Source organism: Homo sapiens, chromosome 2, assembly GCF_000001405.40.
Source record: "Homo sapiens chromosome 2, GRCh38.p14 Primary Assembly".
In the NCBI taxonomy this organism is placed as follows: Eukaryota; Metazoa; Chordata; class Mammalia; order Primates; family Hominidae; genus Homo; species Homo sapiens.
Genome location: NC_000002.12, coordinates 3,732,608 through 3,752,227, shown reverse-complemented (window position 1 = coordinate 3,752,227; position 19,620 = coordinate 3,732,608). Strand labels below are relative to the sequence as shown.

General features: G+C 45.9%; 1 protein-coding gene across 11 annotated transcripts in view; it reads right to left on the bottom strand.

Annotated features, from left to right (window-relative positions):
* Positions 1-19,620, bottom strand: part of DCDC2C (doublecortin domain containing 2C) — a 144,434-nt gene that overhangs the window by 95,781 nt on the left and 29,033 nt on the right. For 9 of the 11 annotated variants that reach the window (XR_007081579.1, NM_001287444.2, XM_047445725.1 and 6 more), the window contains exon 4: positions 10,180-10,308. The exons of the other annotated variants lie outside the window; for them this stretch is intronic. Coding sequence is in view for 8 of the 9 variants with exons in the window: in NM_001287444.2 (NP_001274373.1) it covers positions 10,180-10,308 (129 nt within the window). In the remaining variant the exon portion in view is untranslated. The remainder of the gene's footprint in view (positions 1-10,179; positions 10,309-19,620) is intronic. 11 annotated transcript variants of the gene reach the window in all.

The following is a 19,620-nucleotide window of genomic DNA, read 5'->3' as shown; positions in this document are numbered from 1 at the left end:
GCATTAGATAAAAATAAGCAAAAGAAAGTCTCTGCCTCCCCAAAGTCAGGAAGCACACAAAAGCCTACAAAGCTAAATATGACAAGAGAAGTGCAAAGGGCTGGGGTCCCAAGAGGAGAAAGGCTGAACCCAGCTGCAGGCTTCACAGAGCTGGAGGAACTTGCAACAGGGTCGGCAGGGTAGGTGGGATTTCATCATGTACGGTGCTGTAAAAAGGCCAGAAGCCAGGGCGAGGAGGGGAACTGACAGTCACTGAGGGTGAGGTGCAGGCACAGCTGTGACTGTGCAGGACAGGGGCAGTTTCCAAAGGGCCTTGAATTCCGGGGAGGAGCATTTATCATTAATTTCATCAGAATGAAGATTTCCAAGGAAGAGAGGATAAGGGCTATGTTTTAGCACTAGTGAGCGGGCAGCTGTGGCCAGGATGTGACTGAGGAAGAATTGCCCCTGTGGGAGGAGGCTCAGAGCTTCTGCAAGAGCCTGAGAGGAAGGAATGAATTAGGGCAGGAAGTGCAGGAGCAGAAGAAGAGAAGAAATGCAGGGGGCATGGAAAGGAGGAATCTATAGAACCTATCCCTCCGCAGAGCTGGGCGTCAGAGCTGCCCAGAGGGTCAGCTTCAGAGTTCTGGGCCCCACTGCAGAGCTCCCAGCTCAGGAGGCCTGGATAAGGCCTGTGTGTGGCATTTCTAACAAGCTCCTGGCTGACAAGCTGCTGCTTCTCCTGGGTCCCATCCCGAGAGCTGCTGCCTGAGACCGACCCTGGAGGCGTCAAGACAGGAACCTGGGAGAGGCATGGCGGAGCTGCACCTGGGGAGCTGGTGGGCCCACCTGGAGCAGAGGCTTCCATGGGAAACCCAATGCTTGGAATTCTGTTCTCCTCCCGCTGGGGCCTGGGGACAGTCAGTCCCCTTTGGTGGACTTGGACAGCCAGTGCCAGAATCCCCAGGAGTAAATCAGGAACATGCAGAAGCCTCACTAGGGAAGTGGGGGACTGACGATGGTCCTAAGGAGAGGGCACCCCCAAAGCAACTGCTCCCGGGGGCCAAACAGCAAGGCTTTGAAGGGTGGGAACAGACAGACCAAGAATTCACATACAAATATGAAAAATGCCATCAAAGAGATGGCAGATATTGCCGGTATGAAACAAGAATATGAAACCATAAAACAGAAGCAAGTAGAAATACTGATGTGAAACACAAGTCGTGGAAAGAAAGATCACAATAGGGGTGAGTCGTAGAATGGACATGGAGCAGGTGCAAGCTGCTGTTTGGAGGTAAAACTGAGGAATGCCCTTAGAGGAAAGCAGGGAGGAAGAAAGAAACAGGATCTGCAGAAGAAGAGCTGAGAGATGAGGGTGAGCAGATGTGCCGACACCGGTGAAAAGAATTTCAAAAGGAAGTTACAGTAAGAGTGGAAGGAGGAAATATGTACAGAAATCATGAAAATTAATTTCCTGGAATTGAGGAAAGAGGACAAGCCACAGGTAAAAGAGTCCATGGATGCCAAAGAACAGAAACTGCAGGAAAACTCGCCGGCAGACATCTGAGTGCGACACCCAAGGTCACAGACAGCATCCTAAAGGCACTGGGGAGAAAGACCTGGCCATACCGCCCGGCAGGACAGGACCAACCGGGGCCTTTCAGCAGCAACACAGACAGGAAAGACGGTGATATTTTCAAAATCTAGAAGGAAAGAACATTAAAGCCAGCCAGACCCTCACGTAAACAGAAAGGACAAGATTAGAATGTCCTCAGGCTTACAAGGCCTCAGGAGATTCGCCACACAGACACCCACGCCAAGAAAATTTTTAGAGGACGTGGTTAAATAAAAGGAACAGCGAATCCAGGAGTTGCTATGAGAATGACGTGAAGTAAAGGTGACCAAATACAAGGACCAATTTGTGTTGTCTTTTTTAAAAAAGCTAAGATCAAAGAAAACATATTCATCATAACCCAAAATTCAATTCTTGATCATAGCCATGCGATAGGGGCTGTTGAGGGGAGACCAAGGGACAGAAAATCGTGCTTATGTTCTTGGCTGGGGAGGGGGAAGACATGGAAATCAATCAGCTCAGAATCTCCAAGGCTTGCTGACTGGCAGATGAGGGAGAAGGTGTGTGCAGTGTCCAGCGTGGATCCGGGGATTCTGGGTGCCGAGCAGAATGATGGAGCCGGGAACAGGCAGAGGAAGGCAAGGAGTGGGGCTGATGGCTTGGGGTGGAGGGGGGTAGAGGGGAAAATGAGCTGTCAGCAGCTGGGTAACTGTAAAAAATGCACCCGAAAAAACTCAACTGGAATGTCTCTGCATAAACCAAAGGCATTTCGGGTTTTCCTTCCAGCAGCAGGGGTCTTGCAGGAATGAAACTGGCTGTTTTTGTGTTCATTTGTTTGCTTCTAGGAAGTTGTGTGCTTTTCATTCAGGGATGGAACTATAGATACCAAAGAACAGGACTGTGGATAGCTCAGCGCAGGACTTGGGAGATGCCCGCTGAGTGGAGACAGAGCCATGGCCACCAAACTGTGGTTTAAACCCTATGGGGCCAACAGGACACCTTGGCCGCCCACACGCTGGAGGAACAAACGGTTCAGGCACATTCCCCTCGGACTCTTCCCTAAACTCATCTCGGCCTCATTTTCTTCTAAGAGAGGTACAAAGTCTACTCACAGGGTGAAGGGAAGTAGAAATTCCTCAGTGGGATAAGACAGGAAGGAAGTTCCAGACAGAACGTGATGCATGCATCCACGTGAAGATGTGAGCCTGTATGTGATGTTCAGATTACACTCACACAGACATAGAAATGTGAGCCGGGACATCACATACGGAGAACGGCGGCTTTTACTGAAGTGTGAGTCTCATGGAAATGAATAGCCAGAATATGGATATCAAATGAGATCATGCACATAAATCAAAGTGCTTTGCATCATAACATGCTAAACACTAGGTATTTCTATTATTACCTATATCAGAAAATGTGAGCACTAAATGCAACGGCCATTTGCAAAATTGTTTTTTAAATTGGAAAACATTACCAAAATGTCAATTATTAAATGATTTTTAATGAACCTTAAAGATTGGGGATATAGTAGAAAATGTAAATATCTCTAAATTAAACTAAATCCTTTACCAATAAAACAGCCAATTTGGCTGTTTTCCCAAAATAAAGGTACAGTCTATCTTACAAGAATTTTAAAATATTTATGTTTAATGAGCTTCCTTTTCAAGACCATGTGGTGATTAAAAGATAGATGTGATTTTCAGCTAAGGCTTCAAAATCTCTGGATGCAGGGTCTCACTGGGTACCCTGAACCCTGGACTCCAAGCTCATGGGTCTCAGCTGTTAGTTCAGCCAGTTTCCCCCCATTAAGGGACTAAAAAGCAGAGATTTATCAGACAGGGTCCCAAACTTTAAGGAGCTTAAAATATACTAGAGGAGAGATGACAAGTCCACAAATAACCATAGTCCAAGGTTGATGGGCTATTTATCAGGAAGCTGAGCCCAGAACTCAGTCTTCAGGTGCCTCCTCCAACACCAACTCCATCCCACCCAGCACCTCAACCGTCAATACCATCCACAACACTCAGATTGTGTGTCTGTTTCTCCAGCCTGATCTCTTCCTTGACTTCACACTCACATATCCAGCCTGGCGCATCCCACTCTGATGTCCAACATGCCTCACCAACTGGACGCGTCCAAAAATTAATTCTTAACTCCCCCAAAACCTGTTCCTCCTCCCACTTCCCCCTTGTCAGGAATGGTACCGACAGTCACCCAGCTGCTCTGATCAGAAGGCTGGGAGTCTTCCTCTCTTTCTCCCTCCTCTCCCCTCCCGCATCACCTCCCCCACCACACACTCCCCACCCCCACCCCCATCTCTCGCTCACTCATTCCTACATGAGGTTGATCAGCAAGTCCCACTGCATACAGTAATGCAGCCAAAACCTGCCTGCCTTTGCCCCAGCCACTGTGGTCTCCCCCAGATCACCTGTAGGAGCCTCCAAACAAGTCTCCTATCCCACCCCGGAGTCAGGTGGTGACACTCCATGCTCAGAATCCGCCAATGGATTCCCACCACACTCACTACCCAAACCTCTCAGCGAGGTCTGCAAGCAGCCTTCACTCCCGGGCTCAGCAGCTCCTGCCCTCCCTCACCAGGCACTTCCCTGCCACCGGTGGCTTCCCACCACAAAGGCTGTGTGCCTGAGGGTCCCTCTGATGGGGACGATCTCCACCCAGATCATGATGTGTTTTACTTCTCTGTGCCATTCAGATGTGTTCTCAAATGTCGCCTTCTCAGAGAAGCCCGCCCTGACCAGCCCAGTGACTCACCGCAAGCCCTGCCCTGCTTCATTCCTCTGTGCCACCCCTGGCATGGCATTTATCAGGGGTCTGCTCCTGAGCATGCATCTGTTGTCTCTCCACTAGACAGTGTCTGCCCTGTGAGGACCATACTCACCCCATCCCCTCAGGGCTTAGATGGAAACCCCTCAAGCTCTCAATAAATATTTGTTGAATTGATCAACAAATAAAGAAAGGTTCTGTATGTTATGAAGCCAAAGATATCACTTCTACTGCGAGATGGGCGAGGTCAGGCCACACCCAACGTGTCCAGTGTGTGCCCTGCACCTTGCACCTATGCTGCGATTGGGCTACTCCCTGGGCCAGGCAAGACACACAGGACACGCTGTGCTGAGCCAGAAGTGACGTCCACTGGGGCAAGCAGCTGCCACTAACGGTGGTGGCCAGGCTGCTCCATGACAATGGCCCACTTCGCCTCCCTCAGACCTTTCACTGCCTTTGGGGTGGGGGCTTCTCTCTTTCCTAATCAGGATAGTCAAGATGGGCAAACTCAAGTTCATGGTTCACCATGGTCTCTCCAGAATGAGTGTCGCCTACATCACGGATGCTGATGTTCCGAACACCCGCTAGTGGATAAGGGACATTTGTGCCCACGATGCAGGGCAGCATGACTGACACTGAGCCCTGCACAGAAACCGAGGCGGGAAGCTCCTGCCTCAGAGGGGCCGGGGCCAGTTCACAGGTGTGGGCCACGGGAACACACATGTGTGTGCTGTGTGCTGCGTGCATGTGTGTCCCGCCCTGGCATTCATCATTAGCTCTTAGAACATCGTAAAACTCTGCATGTAGCCACCAGGGCCATCTGTAACCGCTGCAGCCCTGGGTATCCACACCTATCTCCCAGCATTTTCCAGAAAGTTTCACTACAGCCAGGCCCTGCTTCCCTCAGGGCCCTCTCACACCTCCTCGCTCCCAGGGCCAGGCCATTGTCCACACAGTCCCCCCACCCCAGAACACCTCCCTTACTTCCACTACCCATTTCTTTAGAACCCAGGACAGATCCGCCACCTCTATGAAGCCTTCTTCTTCAACTCCTCTCAACGCCTTCTGCTCTGAGAACTCCCCCAGGGCTCAAGGTCCTCCTCTGTCTCACTGGCTCAGCCCCAGCACTGCCTCTGATTGCAGTGTATCTGTTTCCCTTAGGGGATCCATCTCCCAGCAAGGCTGTGCAATCCTCAGTGTCAAGGAACATGTTCTTCCAGATGTTTTGTTTGATTGTTTATCACCTCCCGGCTCCTAGAATAGTGTACGGTGCAGAGTATATACTCAACGGACAGTGGGAAATTGAAAACGGAGAGTGGAGATCATTCCACTTTAGCCTCAGAGAAATTCACAAGCATAGCTCATCACCTTTTCCTTCCAGCAGGCGGCATGGAAAAAATGTTCAGAATTGTCAACCTCAGGCAACTTGCCCTCTTTCATCCTCCATGTCCCCCGCTCCATACTAAACGTCATTCCTTTCTTAGAGTGGGTCGTGCTCGTCCCCATCCACTCCCACTTTCCCTGGCCAGGGCCTGGCCTAGGTGAGGCACAAGAGGCCCACAGGGTGCTGATGTGAGAAGGTGCCCTCCTGCCCCAGCTCCTCCGCGTCCTTCAGTTCTTACAGCACGCATCTCTTCTGGAAGGTCTCTTAGTCTGGGCTCCCCCGGCCGTGTGCTCCCTCTCAAGAACATGCTGCCCTCACCGTAGCTGCTCACATGACGTGTTTCCTCTCTGCTGGGCTGCAGTGGGGCTGAGGACCGAGACTGCTCTGCTCATGGCTGCCTCCCTGGCACTCAGCCAACAGCCTCTACGAGCGCCTTTTTCCAACCGAGATCAGCAATTGTCTTGCACAGAGACCTACAGAATTTCACTTAAGTATTTCTCTGAGCTATTTGGATACATTATTCCAAAAGTTCAAACTATCCAATAAATCAAGTAATTTTAATACCACGAAGAATAATTAGCCTGGGCAACATGGCAAGACCTCATCTCTACCAAAAAAAAAAAAAAAATTAGTCATGAGTGGTGGCTCACACCTGTAGTCCCAACTACTCAGGAGGCTGAGGTGGGAGGATCCTCTGAGCCCAGGAGGTCAAGGCTCAGTGAGCTGTGATTGTGCCACTGCACTGAGCCTAGACAACAGAGTCTCCTAAAAAAAGAACTGTCTTCGTTTCTAACCCACACAAGGAAAAGGTGTGATGGAAATCTCAGCTGAATCATATTAGCATTATCTAAGGAACGATAAATACAGAGAAATATAAATAATGTCTCAAATGCATGAGAAACAGTAGCTGTAGTTCCCATTCAAAAGTAACACACACATTGATTTTTTTTAATTCTGTTCATGTGCATATTGCTTCACTCCTTCAAGCTCAGTATTTGTACTTTCTAAGCATTTCTTTTATTTCTAAGCTCTGCACTTTTGCTAAACCCAACCATAAAAAACTAATTTAAGTCCAGGAAAAAAATAAATTAGTTTATTGATCTAATGTCTTTTTTACCCTTCAAATATTCTGTTCCCTTCCTTACTTCTACCATAAAAGAATTTTCTCTCCGACTTTCACTACTATCATTCTACATGTGATACTTAAGATTTATTCCAAGGCTGGGTGCAGTGGCTCATGCCCATAATCTCAGAACTTTGGGAGGCCGAGGTGGGCAGATCACCTGAGGTCAGGAGTTCAAGAGCAGCCTGGCCAACATGGCAAAAACTCATCTCTACTAAAAGCACAAAAATTAGCCAGGCATGGTGGCGGGCGTCTGTAATCCTAGGTACTCCAGAGGCTGAGGCATGAAAATCACTTGAACCTGGGAGGTGGAGGTTGCAGTGAGCCGAGATTGCACCATTGCACTCCAGCCCAGGCAACAGAGCAAGTCTAAAAATAAATAAGTAAATAAATAAATAATAGATTTCTTCCACTATCATTTCTAGCTTCTCCCAGAAGTATACACAGGTCTATCTACTGCACACAGCTTTATTTCTTTGAGAATAATACACTAATATTTATAGCTGCATTCTGGGAGCATGGAGGTATTCCCGGTACAGACTTGTGCACAAACATCTAACTTCCACCTGCTCGTCGCCACTGCCACGAGGTTACTCATGGCTCCACTGCTCTAAACGGCTCGACAGTTTACATCCTACTCAAAAGTGGACATCAGTTTTCATCGTTGGTATCACAACTGTTGACTGTAAATCACTCTTGGATGTTTTTAATCTACCCCCAAAGGAGAGTTAACTGACAAAAGCATAAGGCAGGATTAACTGTTTCTGCTCTTCCACCACAGCGTCTACCATCAGGGGACCATCACTGCCCACGGCGGCCTCCTCCTAACTCTCCTTGCTGCACGGCGTTTTCCCACTTCTCAGCCTGAAAGATCTTCATCTCCCCTGCGCCTTCTCAGCCCCTCCCAGGGCAGTCCTTCACACCTCATTAGTGCCCAGAAGCATCCCCAGGTGGATGTCTCGACCTTGCCTCTGCAGCCTCTTGGCCTCCCAGTCTCCCGCTTTCCCACTTCACCTTCCTCTAATCTGCACCAACAGCCGGACGCTGGGCCTGATGCCACCCAACTGACTGTGGCTTCATGTCCACACCAGCAATGGCTCCGCCTGCTGTGCCATGAGCCTCCATCCCTCCCTGTCCCTCTCTGCTCTCACCTCATGGACCAACTGCCCATCTGCCTTCTCCTCTCTCATCCCCAGCTGCTGAGTGCCCGAGAACACATGCAACTGCAGGCTGGTTCCACTACAAATCTTCAGCGTGCAGTCCAGCAGGGCTCTCAACCCTGCTCGGCAATCCTCCCATTCCATGTCCCTCCCACTGCCCCCATTCTCCTTCTGTCCATTCGCAAGACACAGCCTTCTCCCTTTTTAGAGTCCTTCTCCCATTTTTAGAGTCCATTTAGATTCTCCTGCCTCAGGCTCCCAAGTAGCTGGGATTACAGGTTCCCGCCACCACGCCTGGCTAATTTTTTATATTTTTAGTAGAGATGGGGTTTCACCATGTTGGCCAGGCTGGTCTTGAACTCCTGACTTCAGGTGATCCACCGGCCTCGGCCTCCCAAAGTGCTGGGATTACAGGCGTGAGCCACCGCACCCGGCCAATGTAGGCATTTTTCTTTATAAAATTCACTCTTAGAACTGGTTTTGCTGAATCCCATAAATTCTAGTATTTATTTCCATTTTTGTTGCTCTCAAGATATTTTTTTATTTCCCTTTTGATTTCTTCCTTGACCCAATGGTTGTTCAGGAATGCACTGTTAAATTTCCAAATATTTGTGAATTTTCCAATTTTCCTCCTATTACTGATTTCTAGCTTTGTATCATTATGGTCAGAAAAAACACTTGATATGATTTTAGTCTTACATTTGCTAAGACTTGATTTGTGGCCTAATATGATTTATCCTGGGGAATGCTGTGTACACTTGAGAAAAATGTGTATTCCGCTGCTGGTGGACAGAATGTTCTGCAGTCTGTTAAGTCTATTGGGTTTATGTTGTTATTCAAGCCCACGGTTTCCTTATTGACTTTCTGTCTGGATGATGTATTCATTGTTGAAAGTGGGGTACTGAAGTCACCTCCTATTATTGTATTGCTGTCTACCTCTCCCTTCAGTTCTGGTAATACTTGCATATTATATATTTAGGTGCTCCAGTGACAGTTGCATATATATATTGATAATTGTTGTATATTCTTGATGGGCTGACCCTTTTAACCTAATGTGGTGACCTTCTTTAGCTCTTGCTGCAGTTTTTCACGTGAAGTCAATTTGGTCTGATGTAAGTCCAGCTGCCCCTGTTCTCTTTTGGTTTCCACTTGCATGGGATATTTTTCCCATCCCTTCCATTTCAGCCTGTGCATATGGTTAAAGCTGAAGGCCAACCCAGATTATCTTCACAGCCACCAGGCCCGGAGCCCCTCCCTCACCTGCCACCTTCAGTCCATCATCATGACTAGCACCACTGTGAGCTTTCATTCATGCAAATGGGACCCACTGGCTGCAAGACAGCAAGCCCCTTGCCTGGTCTGTAAAGTATTTGTGGAACCTAAGTTCTGGCCTTGGGGCTGGCCACTTCCCTCACAATAGGGCTGAATTTCCTATGATGACAGTGTCGTGCTCCCTCAACACACTCTGCTTGTTTGTGCCTCATCCACTGTCGCAATCATAATCACAAACCCATTTCACGCCTACTATGCATCAAGTGTTTTGCTAAGCACTTTACATATATGAGGACCCTTGGAAGTAGGTATTATTATCATTTCCAGTTTTCCAGATGACAAAACATGCATTGAGGAGTTAGGAATGTGCCCAAGGTAACCGAGACACAGATGGCGGAGAGGAGATTTGCTCCACGCCAGACCCCCAGGCACATGCTAGAGGCCATTACACACACTACCTCCCTCCCACATGCTCTTCTGTCCCATGGCATTCATTTCCCCCATCTCTGCCAAGACTCAATCCAAACACCAGCTCCCCCAGGCCTGGCTCCTCCAGACCAACTGAGAGGCCTCATTATACCAACTGCAGCATTCTAGCAACTTGAACGGTCGGCCCACTCAATAGGGGTTTCAGGGAGCAAGACTCTTTTTTGCAATGCTGTATTCTCCACCCCTAGCACATGGTAGATGCTCAATGGTTTGTTGAATGAATAAATGAATGAGGCCAGTTAAAAGTAAGTGTAATACCAAGACTGAGAAAATACTATCTGCTTGAAGAATTAAAATTAAGAGTTTATGGTGAATCATTTTAGACCTTGCTGGTCCAGGCAGAAAACTCTCATAGAAAGAATAAACACAAGCTGCCGCCCCCTGGCTGTCCTAAAGGCGAGAGTCTCCTTACTTCCGAACGCCTCCTAGAGGGAAGACTTTTTCTCCGATCGTGGCCAGCACGATGTCCCAATCGGACAGACTAAATTTGGGTATAATGATTTTTGCAGGTGGAATAAATAATCTTCCATTTGTAAAAACACTGTAAGAATAAAAAGAAAAGCATCCATTAATACCTTAAGTTTGAGGGGGAAACATTGAAAATTCAATATATATACAATTACAGAACTGTAAAAACAATGAGATGCACTAAGCAGCCTCCAATACTTCATACTATGTCTTATTGGGGACCTTATCAAGCTGTACAGAATGTCACAGAGCCTGGTGACAGACGCGCGCGTGTGTGTATACCTATGTGTGTGTGTGTATGTGTGCTTTTGTTGTAGACGAAAACCACAACAGTGGGCTACAGAAAGAGCACTAGGAGTGAAGGTGCCTTAGGGTTAATAGTGGTTGCGAAACAGGAAAAGTTCTCTTGTCCCCCTCACAGAGCATGAGATGGGGGTGTGGCTCGCTTTTTCAGTGCCTCACTGCTCAAACCTCTAGGGGAGGCATACAGACGGGCAGGCTCTGGGGCTCCAACCCCACAGTTGTGACATTCTGGGCAGCTTGATAAAAATCTGGGTATTTTATAAAATCTAAAATGCCCAGATTAATAGAACATAACTCCACTTTTTATAAAACATGTCTCCCACTACTATAATGGGTAAAATGAAAGAAAATTGTGTCCATTTGGAAAACAGGCAGATAATTTTGCCTTAAATAATGTAGCTGTTTTCCCTTTCTCTGGAGCCGAGATCATCTCCCAAAGAAAATAACATGCATTCCTTTGAAAAGTTAATAGAAACCACTTATTCACTCCTGAGTTTTAAGGCAACTTCAATATAATCTTAGGGGTGTTAGTTTATTGTTTCTACGTGTTGAGGGAGAGGAAGTGCTTAGAAGATTTTCAAAACCCAACACAAAGTTAGTAGTGTTCATGAGACTATGCCATAATCAAAGACACATGCAATAGTTTCAAACTCTTGTAATTCACATTAAAATAATGTAAAATACAAGGTGTATCGAGTCTAAAAATAATAAATGATATCATTGATATCCTTTAACAATATATAAGCTCAACTTTGCAATTCTGGTTAATTTTTTTACATTATAATTTACTATTACTGCCATTTTTTGTCTTCTTCCTTAAATGCAAATAACTTAGAATTTGAGAAATATCTCTCTTTAGAGTAAATATAAATCTTAATTTAATATGTTTGTCACCATAAAGAGAGTCCATTTTCTCTGTTAAGGTTTTGTGGCAAAAGAGGCTTCCAATCAACCCAGAGTCCAACTTCTTCCATATTTAAGACGCTGCCCACAAGAAGTCATAAAAAGAAATGTTCCATGCAAGTTATATCAGAATTTATCCATGTGCTATTACAATTACAATAAAGATTTGCTACAATGTTTTCAACTATTGGTTTTCCTAATTGGTTTAGGCTGCAAGTTTTTCTAAATATAGATTACTAATAGGAATAAAAGTAATCAATGTTTAAACAAGGTCTTGTTATATTTTGTCTCAATTTTTAAGAAATTTAATTTATAATCTTATCCTGAGTATTGAGAAACAGGCACACCATCCCACTGCTGATGTAGCTGAAAATCAGCACAGTCTTCTTGAAGGACACTTTGGCAAAATAGATCAATGTAATATAAAGGATCAATAACCACTAACCCAGTCATCCCACACCATGAAATCCACCCGACAGAAAAGTGGACAAAGATTTAGAGGTGAAGATATTTCTCATAGAATTATGTATGAAGTCAAAAATACAAAATGTCTAAGTATGGATGACTGGTTAAATAAATTATGCCACAGCCACACCATAAATTATACAGCTGTTAAAAATTGTGTATGCAGAATTTATATCTACAGGGGAAAAACGGTCAGATATAATTAATGTTGTAGACAAAAACCACAACAGTGGGCTACAGAAAGAACACTAGGAGTGAAGGTGCCTTAGGGTTAATAGTGGTTGTGAACAGGAAAAGTTCCCTTGTCCCCCTCGCAGAGCGTGCAATGGGGGCGTGGCTCGCTTCTTCAGTGCCCCACTGCTCAAAACTCTAGGGGACATACAGACGGGCAGGCTGTGGGGCTCCGACCCCATGGCAGTATCTAGGGGTAAATGTTTCCAGCTCCTGAAGCCCCAGTGGGCCTGTGTTACAGGCTGCTCTTTGAGTTTAGCCGTCTGTATAGGTGGCTTGTGTTAATCAGCTCAATTAGACCCCTGCCTTGTTGCAAGAACAAAGGGCTTTGTATCCCGGGTTCTGGCCTTGGTGTACCAGAACAACTGGATCACATGTGGGCTTGGAGAATGAGTGCAAGGTTTTATTGAGTGGACGTAGCTCTCAGCAGATGGCGGAGCCAGAAGGGAGACGGTTTTTCCCTGGAGTCAGGCCTCTCGGAACCCCAGCACTCCTCTAACTGCCCCAGCCAAACTCTGTGTCGTTCTGCCGGTCGGCGGCCTGCCGGTGTGCCGGTGCCTGTTGGTGCGTTCCTCTTGACGTTCAGCCACTTGTGTGTTCCTCCGCCGATGTGCTCCTCCCGACGTCCAGCCATTTCTGTCTCTGCCTTGCCAGGGTCTCAAGCTTTTATAGGCACAGGATGGGGGCGTGGCAGGCCAAGGGTGGTCTTGGGAAATGCAACATTTGGGCAGGGAAACAAAAATGCCTGACCTCACGCAGGTCCATTGGGTGGCGCCCTAGCCAGGGACCATGCCCTCCTGTCCCCAGCAGTTCCCTTCCCCCTTCTGTATCATTTAAAGGGACTACACTCTTCCCAGCACTTCTATATCTGAGGGATGGGATAACTGGAGAATTTTATTTTATTCTTTATGCTTTTCTAGATTTCCACATTTTTATAAGCCTGTAAATAGAAAAATCTGTAAATTTTTTTGAATTTTTAAGATAAAAGAGAAGAAACAATAATCTCTGATTTATAAACTAGGAAATGGCAAGTTCAGAGGGAGAAATGGATTTCACACATCTCTAAAATTTGCTGGTTGAGCAGAAGAATGAACCTAGACCAATATCACCATGCCAGGTTTGGGGTCCGTGTTGTTCAGGGTCCGATGATCCATCTTCCAGGTAGCTGAATGAACAACTCCATCTAAAATACCCAAAAACAGTTTCCCTGGAAGTCTGTGATAGGTTGTGGATGGGCACACATCAAATCCCATCACTGGTAAATAAACACTGGTACATGTGAATTTTTGAATGCCTGGTACTCATTTTTGAAAGCACAATTTATATATGCTGATAAAAAACCATATACAAGATAAATTGGGTGGTTACAAGAAAAATGAAGGTACACAACAGTGCATGCAGTACACATATACCTATAAACGCCTGATCACGCATGGCCCATCCTAGAAAGAGACCAGAAACTGCAACGCTGGCTCCCTCTGGGGGAATCACTAGAGAACTAGTGATATAAGCTGGGAGGCTTTTTTTTTTTTTTTTTTTTTTTTTTTTTTCCCAGATAGACCAGCAGAAAAAATGTATTGCCCTTGGAGTGGGATGCTGAATATATCTCATCATATAGTTCATCTCAATTTAATTTCACTATCTCTCCTCTTTCTTCACACTTTGAATTCTCCTCAACTCTCTGCCAACAAAAACTTGCAATCTGATAGAGAAGTTGCACATACAATTATCTGTAATATAAATCAAACCCTTTGACAAGGGAGTAAAAACAAACATTAATTCCTTTTTTACTTTATTTCAATCTCATTGCTCAAAATGAATATTCAAAAATCAGGCATTTATCCAATCTGCCGTTAATGTGAAACACATTGATGTGAACTGTCAATGGTGCACTGAATTATTTATTTCTTACCAAATTTACCAAATTTCATCAGTTCAAATGTAGATTTTACTTCTTGTTGACTTATTTTTCTAACAAATTAGCAGTATTGACAGGCTGAAATTAATTTTATTTTTTTAATTTTTAATTTGGGAGACTTACTTTAAATGTATATCTCTTAAAAATATATATTTACCATTGGCATGAGTCACTCTGTTAAATAAGATGGTTTATTTAAATAAAAACTCTGAAGAGATTTCAAAAGGCATAAAACTACTTTGTCAATGCACCTCTTCCTGTGTTGCTACTTAATTTTTAGTAGTAAATAGGAGGAAAATAAAACATTTTAAACATTTTAAATAGAAAATATTTCAGATTGTTTAAAATGGGAAGTAGCATATAGGTCCAGGAATGGGTTTTGGTCAGGTGGGTTGGCGATGACAGCTGCCATTTCCTCAGCACTAGCCATGAACACTTTAGAGAGTCGTCTCTAACCTTTCCAGCAAATCAGTAAAGTGAGTCCTGCTCCCCCGTGACACAGAGGAAGAATCTGGACCTCTGAGAGGGTAAGGGGTTTCCCCAGGCCACATGGAGGCCACATGGAGAACCAACCACCCAGACCTTCCCCTGCATCCACCTCCCTCTACCCACTTATGTCTTCTCTGTTGAAAAGCAAGGTAGAAGGCATCAGAAATGTGCTGTTTCTCTCCGAAATACATTGATGATAGTAGGTGGGAAGAAAGCCAGGGTCGTTTTTGTTTCCATTGCCACGCTATCTTCAAATAGCCATGACCCACTGCAGTTGGGTAGTAAACGGGCCATGAACATATTGTGACATCCTGGGCTGGCCGCCTGCGCCCTCCCCTCATCCTGGGGTGAAGGTCGCCTAATGCTTGCTCTCAAGAACCAGGTCAAGTTCCAAGCTGAGTTGAACTGAAAAGTTCTCCACATTTGAACTCAGAAGCCATGGTCTTCGGGGCTGATTCTAGAACTAAATAGCTCTATCTCTGGACCTCTCATTCCCCCACTGAACTGTGAGCTCTCTGAGGACAAGCCTGCATCTGAATCTCTCGGTCTCCCCAGGGCCTGGCACCTGGGGGTACTCAGTCAATTCTGGATGGGCAGTGGCGGGGGGTACATGGATTGGATGGAGCCATTAGGGATCAAAGGAACAGATGAAGGTCTTACTCTCTTTTGGCCTCAATCTTCCATTTCCAAAAGTGGAATATGACTGCCTGCCTTATCTGCTGCATAGGCTTATAATGAAGGCAAAAGGAGGTTACAGGCATTTTGATTTGAAAAGGGTAATAAAGAGGCATTATTCTTTAAAACTAAGGTGTCATAACAGTTATTATTGTGTTTTTCTAAACTAAGATTTTGAGACAACCTGAAAGAAAACTGGAGTGATTTAAGTAACAGTTCACTCTAATCTTAAACTTTCTCGTTGAGAACTGCAGAATTCTCAGCATGTAACAACCCCGTCCATTTGGAAAATATACAATGTACAATGCACTGCAATTGAAATCATCAGGAAAAAACCTGAAACATTTGACCACAGCAAGCTCAGAAACCATGGGCTCTTTTGGGTCTGGACATTTGCTGGCTCGTGGGGAGAAACAGCTCAGCCCTCCAGAGGAGCGAAGAATCCTACCCCTCTGCTCATCACAAAATCACTGCCTGCCCTGCAGAAAGCAAACGTCCAATGCTCTTATAACTGCCACTAAACTCAACAGGAGAAGTCACCCTGCAACCTGAAGGGGACTCCACCACGCTTCTCACTGGTCTGGGGCAACGCATCCTACCCTTAGGACCTCCTCATCTCCTGCTCCGTTCCTCCGAGTCACCCACCTTCACCAGGGGTGGGTTTTGATCCTGTGCCTCACGACTTGCCTCTTTCTCAACCTCAAAACATTTCTGTGGGACCCCTTAAAGCAGCACAACTTCCTTCTCAGTCCTACCACCCTGTAAATCTGCTAGGAAAGGATCTTCTCCTGGATTGGGGTATTAGAATCCACTGTGTCCCCAGGGACTCCTTCCCTCTCATCTATGTTCCCCGACATGGTGTCCGACTTGCTTAAGTTCTTCTGCTTCCCTCCACCTGGCACTCATTTAACCAAAGACTTCAATCAGCTGTTAGGCAGGATTCCTCCACCTTTGTGGATAAGAAACTCCATGGATATTAGATGTATTTGGGATGCAGAACCCTATAAGATAGAAATAGATCCTTCCATGCCCCTCCACAAGATTTGCAAAAAATCATTTAAAACCAGAGGGACTTGAAAGGTACTGCCCTATATTTCCAATCCATGCAACACTCGCATTCCAGCCACTAAAAAGCCAAATGGAAAAAACATATATCAGCTGATCCAAGATCTGAGATCTATAAAAAAAAAAAAATGGTCAAACCCAGGCTTTCCTTGGTGCCTAATGCTAACACTATCCTGGCCGTGATCACTTTTAACACACAGTATTTCACAGTCATCATCAATGTGTGCACTGCCTTTTTTAGAATTCCCTACCATGAAAATTCCCCGGGCTTGTCACCTTCACCTGGGAAAATGAACCATATTCCTGGACCGTTATGCCTCAAGGATTTACTGAGGCCCCTACCTACTTCTCACACACCCTAAGTGCAAATCTGATGCGGGTAAAATTCCCAGGAAACTCAACTGTAATCCAACTTGTGGATGACCTCCTCCTATGTTCTGAAAGTTACTCAGGTGGGAATTGAACAATGAGAACACATGGACACAGGAAGGGGAACATCACACACCAGGGACTGTTGTGGGGTGGGGGGCAGGGGAGGGATAGCTTTAGGAGATACACCTAATGCTAAATGATGAGTTAATGGGTGCAGCACACCAACATGGCACATGTATACATATGTAACAAACCTGCACATTGTGCACGGGTACCCTAAAACTTAAAGTATAATAATAATAAAAAAATTAAAAATTAAAAAATTAAGAAATAAAAATAAAAAAAAGAAAGTTACAACAGCTCCCTTCTGCACGCTGAATGCCTCCTTAGGGTGTTAGCAAAAAGGACCGTGGAGTGGCTAGACACAAAGTTCAGTTATCCTGTGTGTCTGGTATCTGGGCTATGATATCTTGGTCACAGAAAAAAGCAATCTCTACAGACCAAGTTTCTAGTCTTCAACATTTTCCTTTCCTGGAAACAAACGAACAATTGGGAGCGAGAAAGTGGGGGTCTTGTGGGATGCGGTAGGATGTGGATGCCTAATTTCTCTCCAATTGCCTCCTCTCTTTAGGCCACGATAAGGGAGTCATCCCTGGACCCGGGAGTAAGGAACCCCCTATCTAAAGACACTTTCATGAACCTGAAGGGCTCTGTACTTTCACCCCCACCTTGAACTTCCCAATTACTCCCTGCCTTTGTCCTTCCTTGTGCATGAAGGAGAGGATCATGTCTTGGAGTCTTCTCCCCAAAACATAAAAACGTGGATTGCGAGAGCTTCACCGAGCTCAGGACTTGAGGCATGTCTCCTGCCTGTGAGCCAGGGCTGCAACCACCAGTCTTGTCCAGGCTGCCTGTCTCATTTGCAACTGGGTCGCCTATTAGACACACACATTCCTCATCCCGTTCAGACCCTACAGACCCCACTGCTTAATGAGAACACAGCATTTCTCTGTGGCTAAACTTCCCTCTTACGAAATCTACTGCTTTCCCCCTCACATAACCATACTACACCATCAAAGCCTTAACCCCTCCACTTGCTTCCTTTACCCGTGGTTAGTTAGTGGATGTTAGTGACACCCGTGTCACCAACATCAGATGATTGTCTCATCCTAGATTAGATTCATCAGAAACCCCTCTGCCCTAAGTAGATCTCGCTCTTTATGTCGATGGCTCCTATCTCTGGAGGGAGGGTGGGCCCTTCCAGGCTGGATATGCCATCACTAATCAGCACAAACCTCTTGGCTATCTAGCCCTGCCATGTGTTACATCAGCCCAGGTGGCTGAATGAATCATTTACTCGGGCTTGCATGAAGACAGAAGAAATGAAGGTGAAACATCCACGCTGACAGCCGCCATGCCTTTGGGGCAGTACGTGATGTTGGTGTGCCACGGAAATGGGGGATTTACGACAGCAGCCGGTAGCCCAGTCAAATAGCAGAACTTCTGGAGGCACTGTTACTACCCCAGCAAACTGCTCTTATTAAAACTGAGGGATACGGCATAAAGAAATCAGATGACACTTGGGAAAATAAGTGGGTTAATAAATATGCCAAACTAGAAGCCTCTTCCCCCACCGCTTGAGGAACCCACGTGGTTTCTAGGCCTTGGGACCACAGCCCTGGCTCGCACTTCAAGGTCCCAGACCCCTGGTGGGATGATTCAACCTCTGCTACAGTCTGAATCGTGTCCCCTCACCCCCCAGTTCATGTTGAAACCAAATCCCCAGTGTAAAAGCATTAAGAGGTGAGGCCTTTAAAAGGTGATTCAATCACGAGGGGGCTTAGGTTCACGAGTGGGATTAGTGTCCTTATAAAAGAGGCCTCAGGGAGCTTGTCTGCCCCGTCCATCATGTGAGGACACAGCAAGAAGGCACAACTGTGCAGCAGGGAACACCCCTCGCCAGACACCAAACCTGCTAGCACCTCAATCTCGGACTTCCCAGCCTCCAGAACTGTGGGCAAAAAATTTCTGCTGTTTATAAATTACCCAGGCTCACATATTTTGTTATAACAACCCAAACAGACACCTCCCTTGAAGGAAACAACTCCTTCAAGATGCCTCCCAAGGAAATAACACAAGAGAGCCACATGGCCCACCCAAGTCTGTCACCAGAGTCACTGTATGTGGTTTACACCTGACTCATCCCAGAAAGGTACAAATGCAGGACATACTGGACAAACAATGGCTTGAACACTTTAGCTTTTAGCTGGACCAAGCAGCTGTCCCTCACTTCATCTGCCAGAAACATACCCTTGGGAAAATTCTAAACATGGACTGAGGAAGGAGAACAGCTTACACTGGACCCTTCCTTCACTGACAAATACACTTTATCCAATTACCAGAGGCCCAGCAGCCAATATGTCCCCAATATGTCCCCACACTGATCTGCATGTTTTCTAAATAGTTAGAGGTTGTTCCACTGCCAAAATGCCTCCACGACATCAGTTGCCAACATTTTCCTGGAAGTAATCTATCCCACTTGGGGTATCCTCTCTATAATTTCTAATGAAAGATCACATTTCACTAGCAAAATTACACAAGCAATTATAAATACAATATATTAGTCGAAGACTGCATTGCCATTACACCCTCAGTCATCAGGCACCTCAGGAAGAGCCCACATGTCCAAAGTCCAATCTGGCTAAGCTGTCTGAAGAACTGGGTTGTCTATGGCCATGGGTGTTATCTGTCCTTCTTATGACTCCCAGATCCTCACCCCATCCTCCTCAGAAATGGCCCCCCTTTGAAACCACTACAGGAAGACCACGAGAATGCCCTACACCTCCTGGCTAACAAGAGATTCCAATTTAACACAGTCTGACATCCTCAGACACTGTCAGGAGTTAATTAGATACACACAGTCCTACAATCAACAAACTAAGGCCACCTTTCCCCTCAAACTCC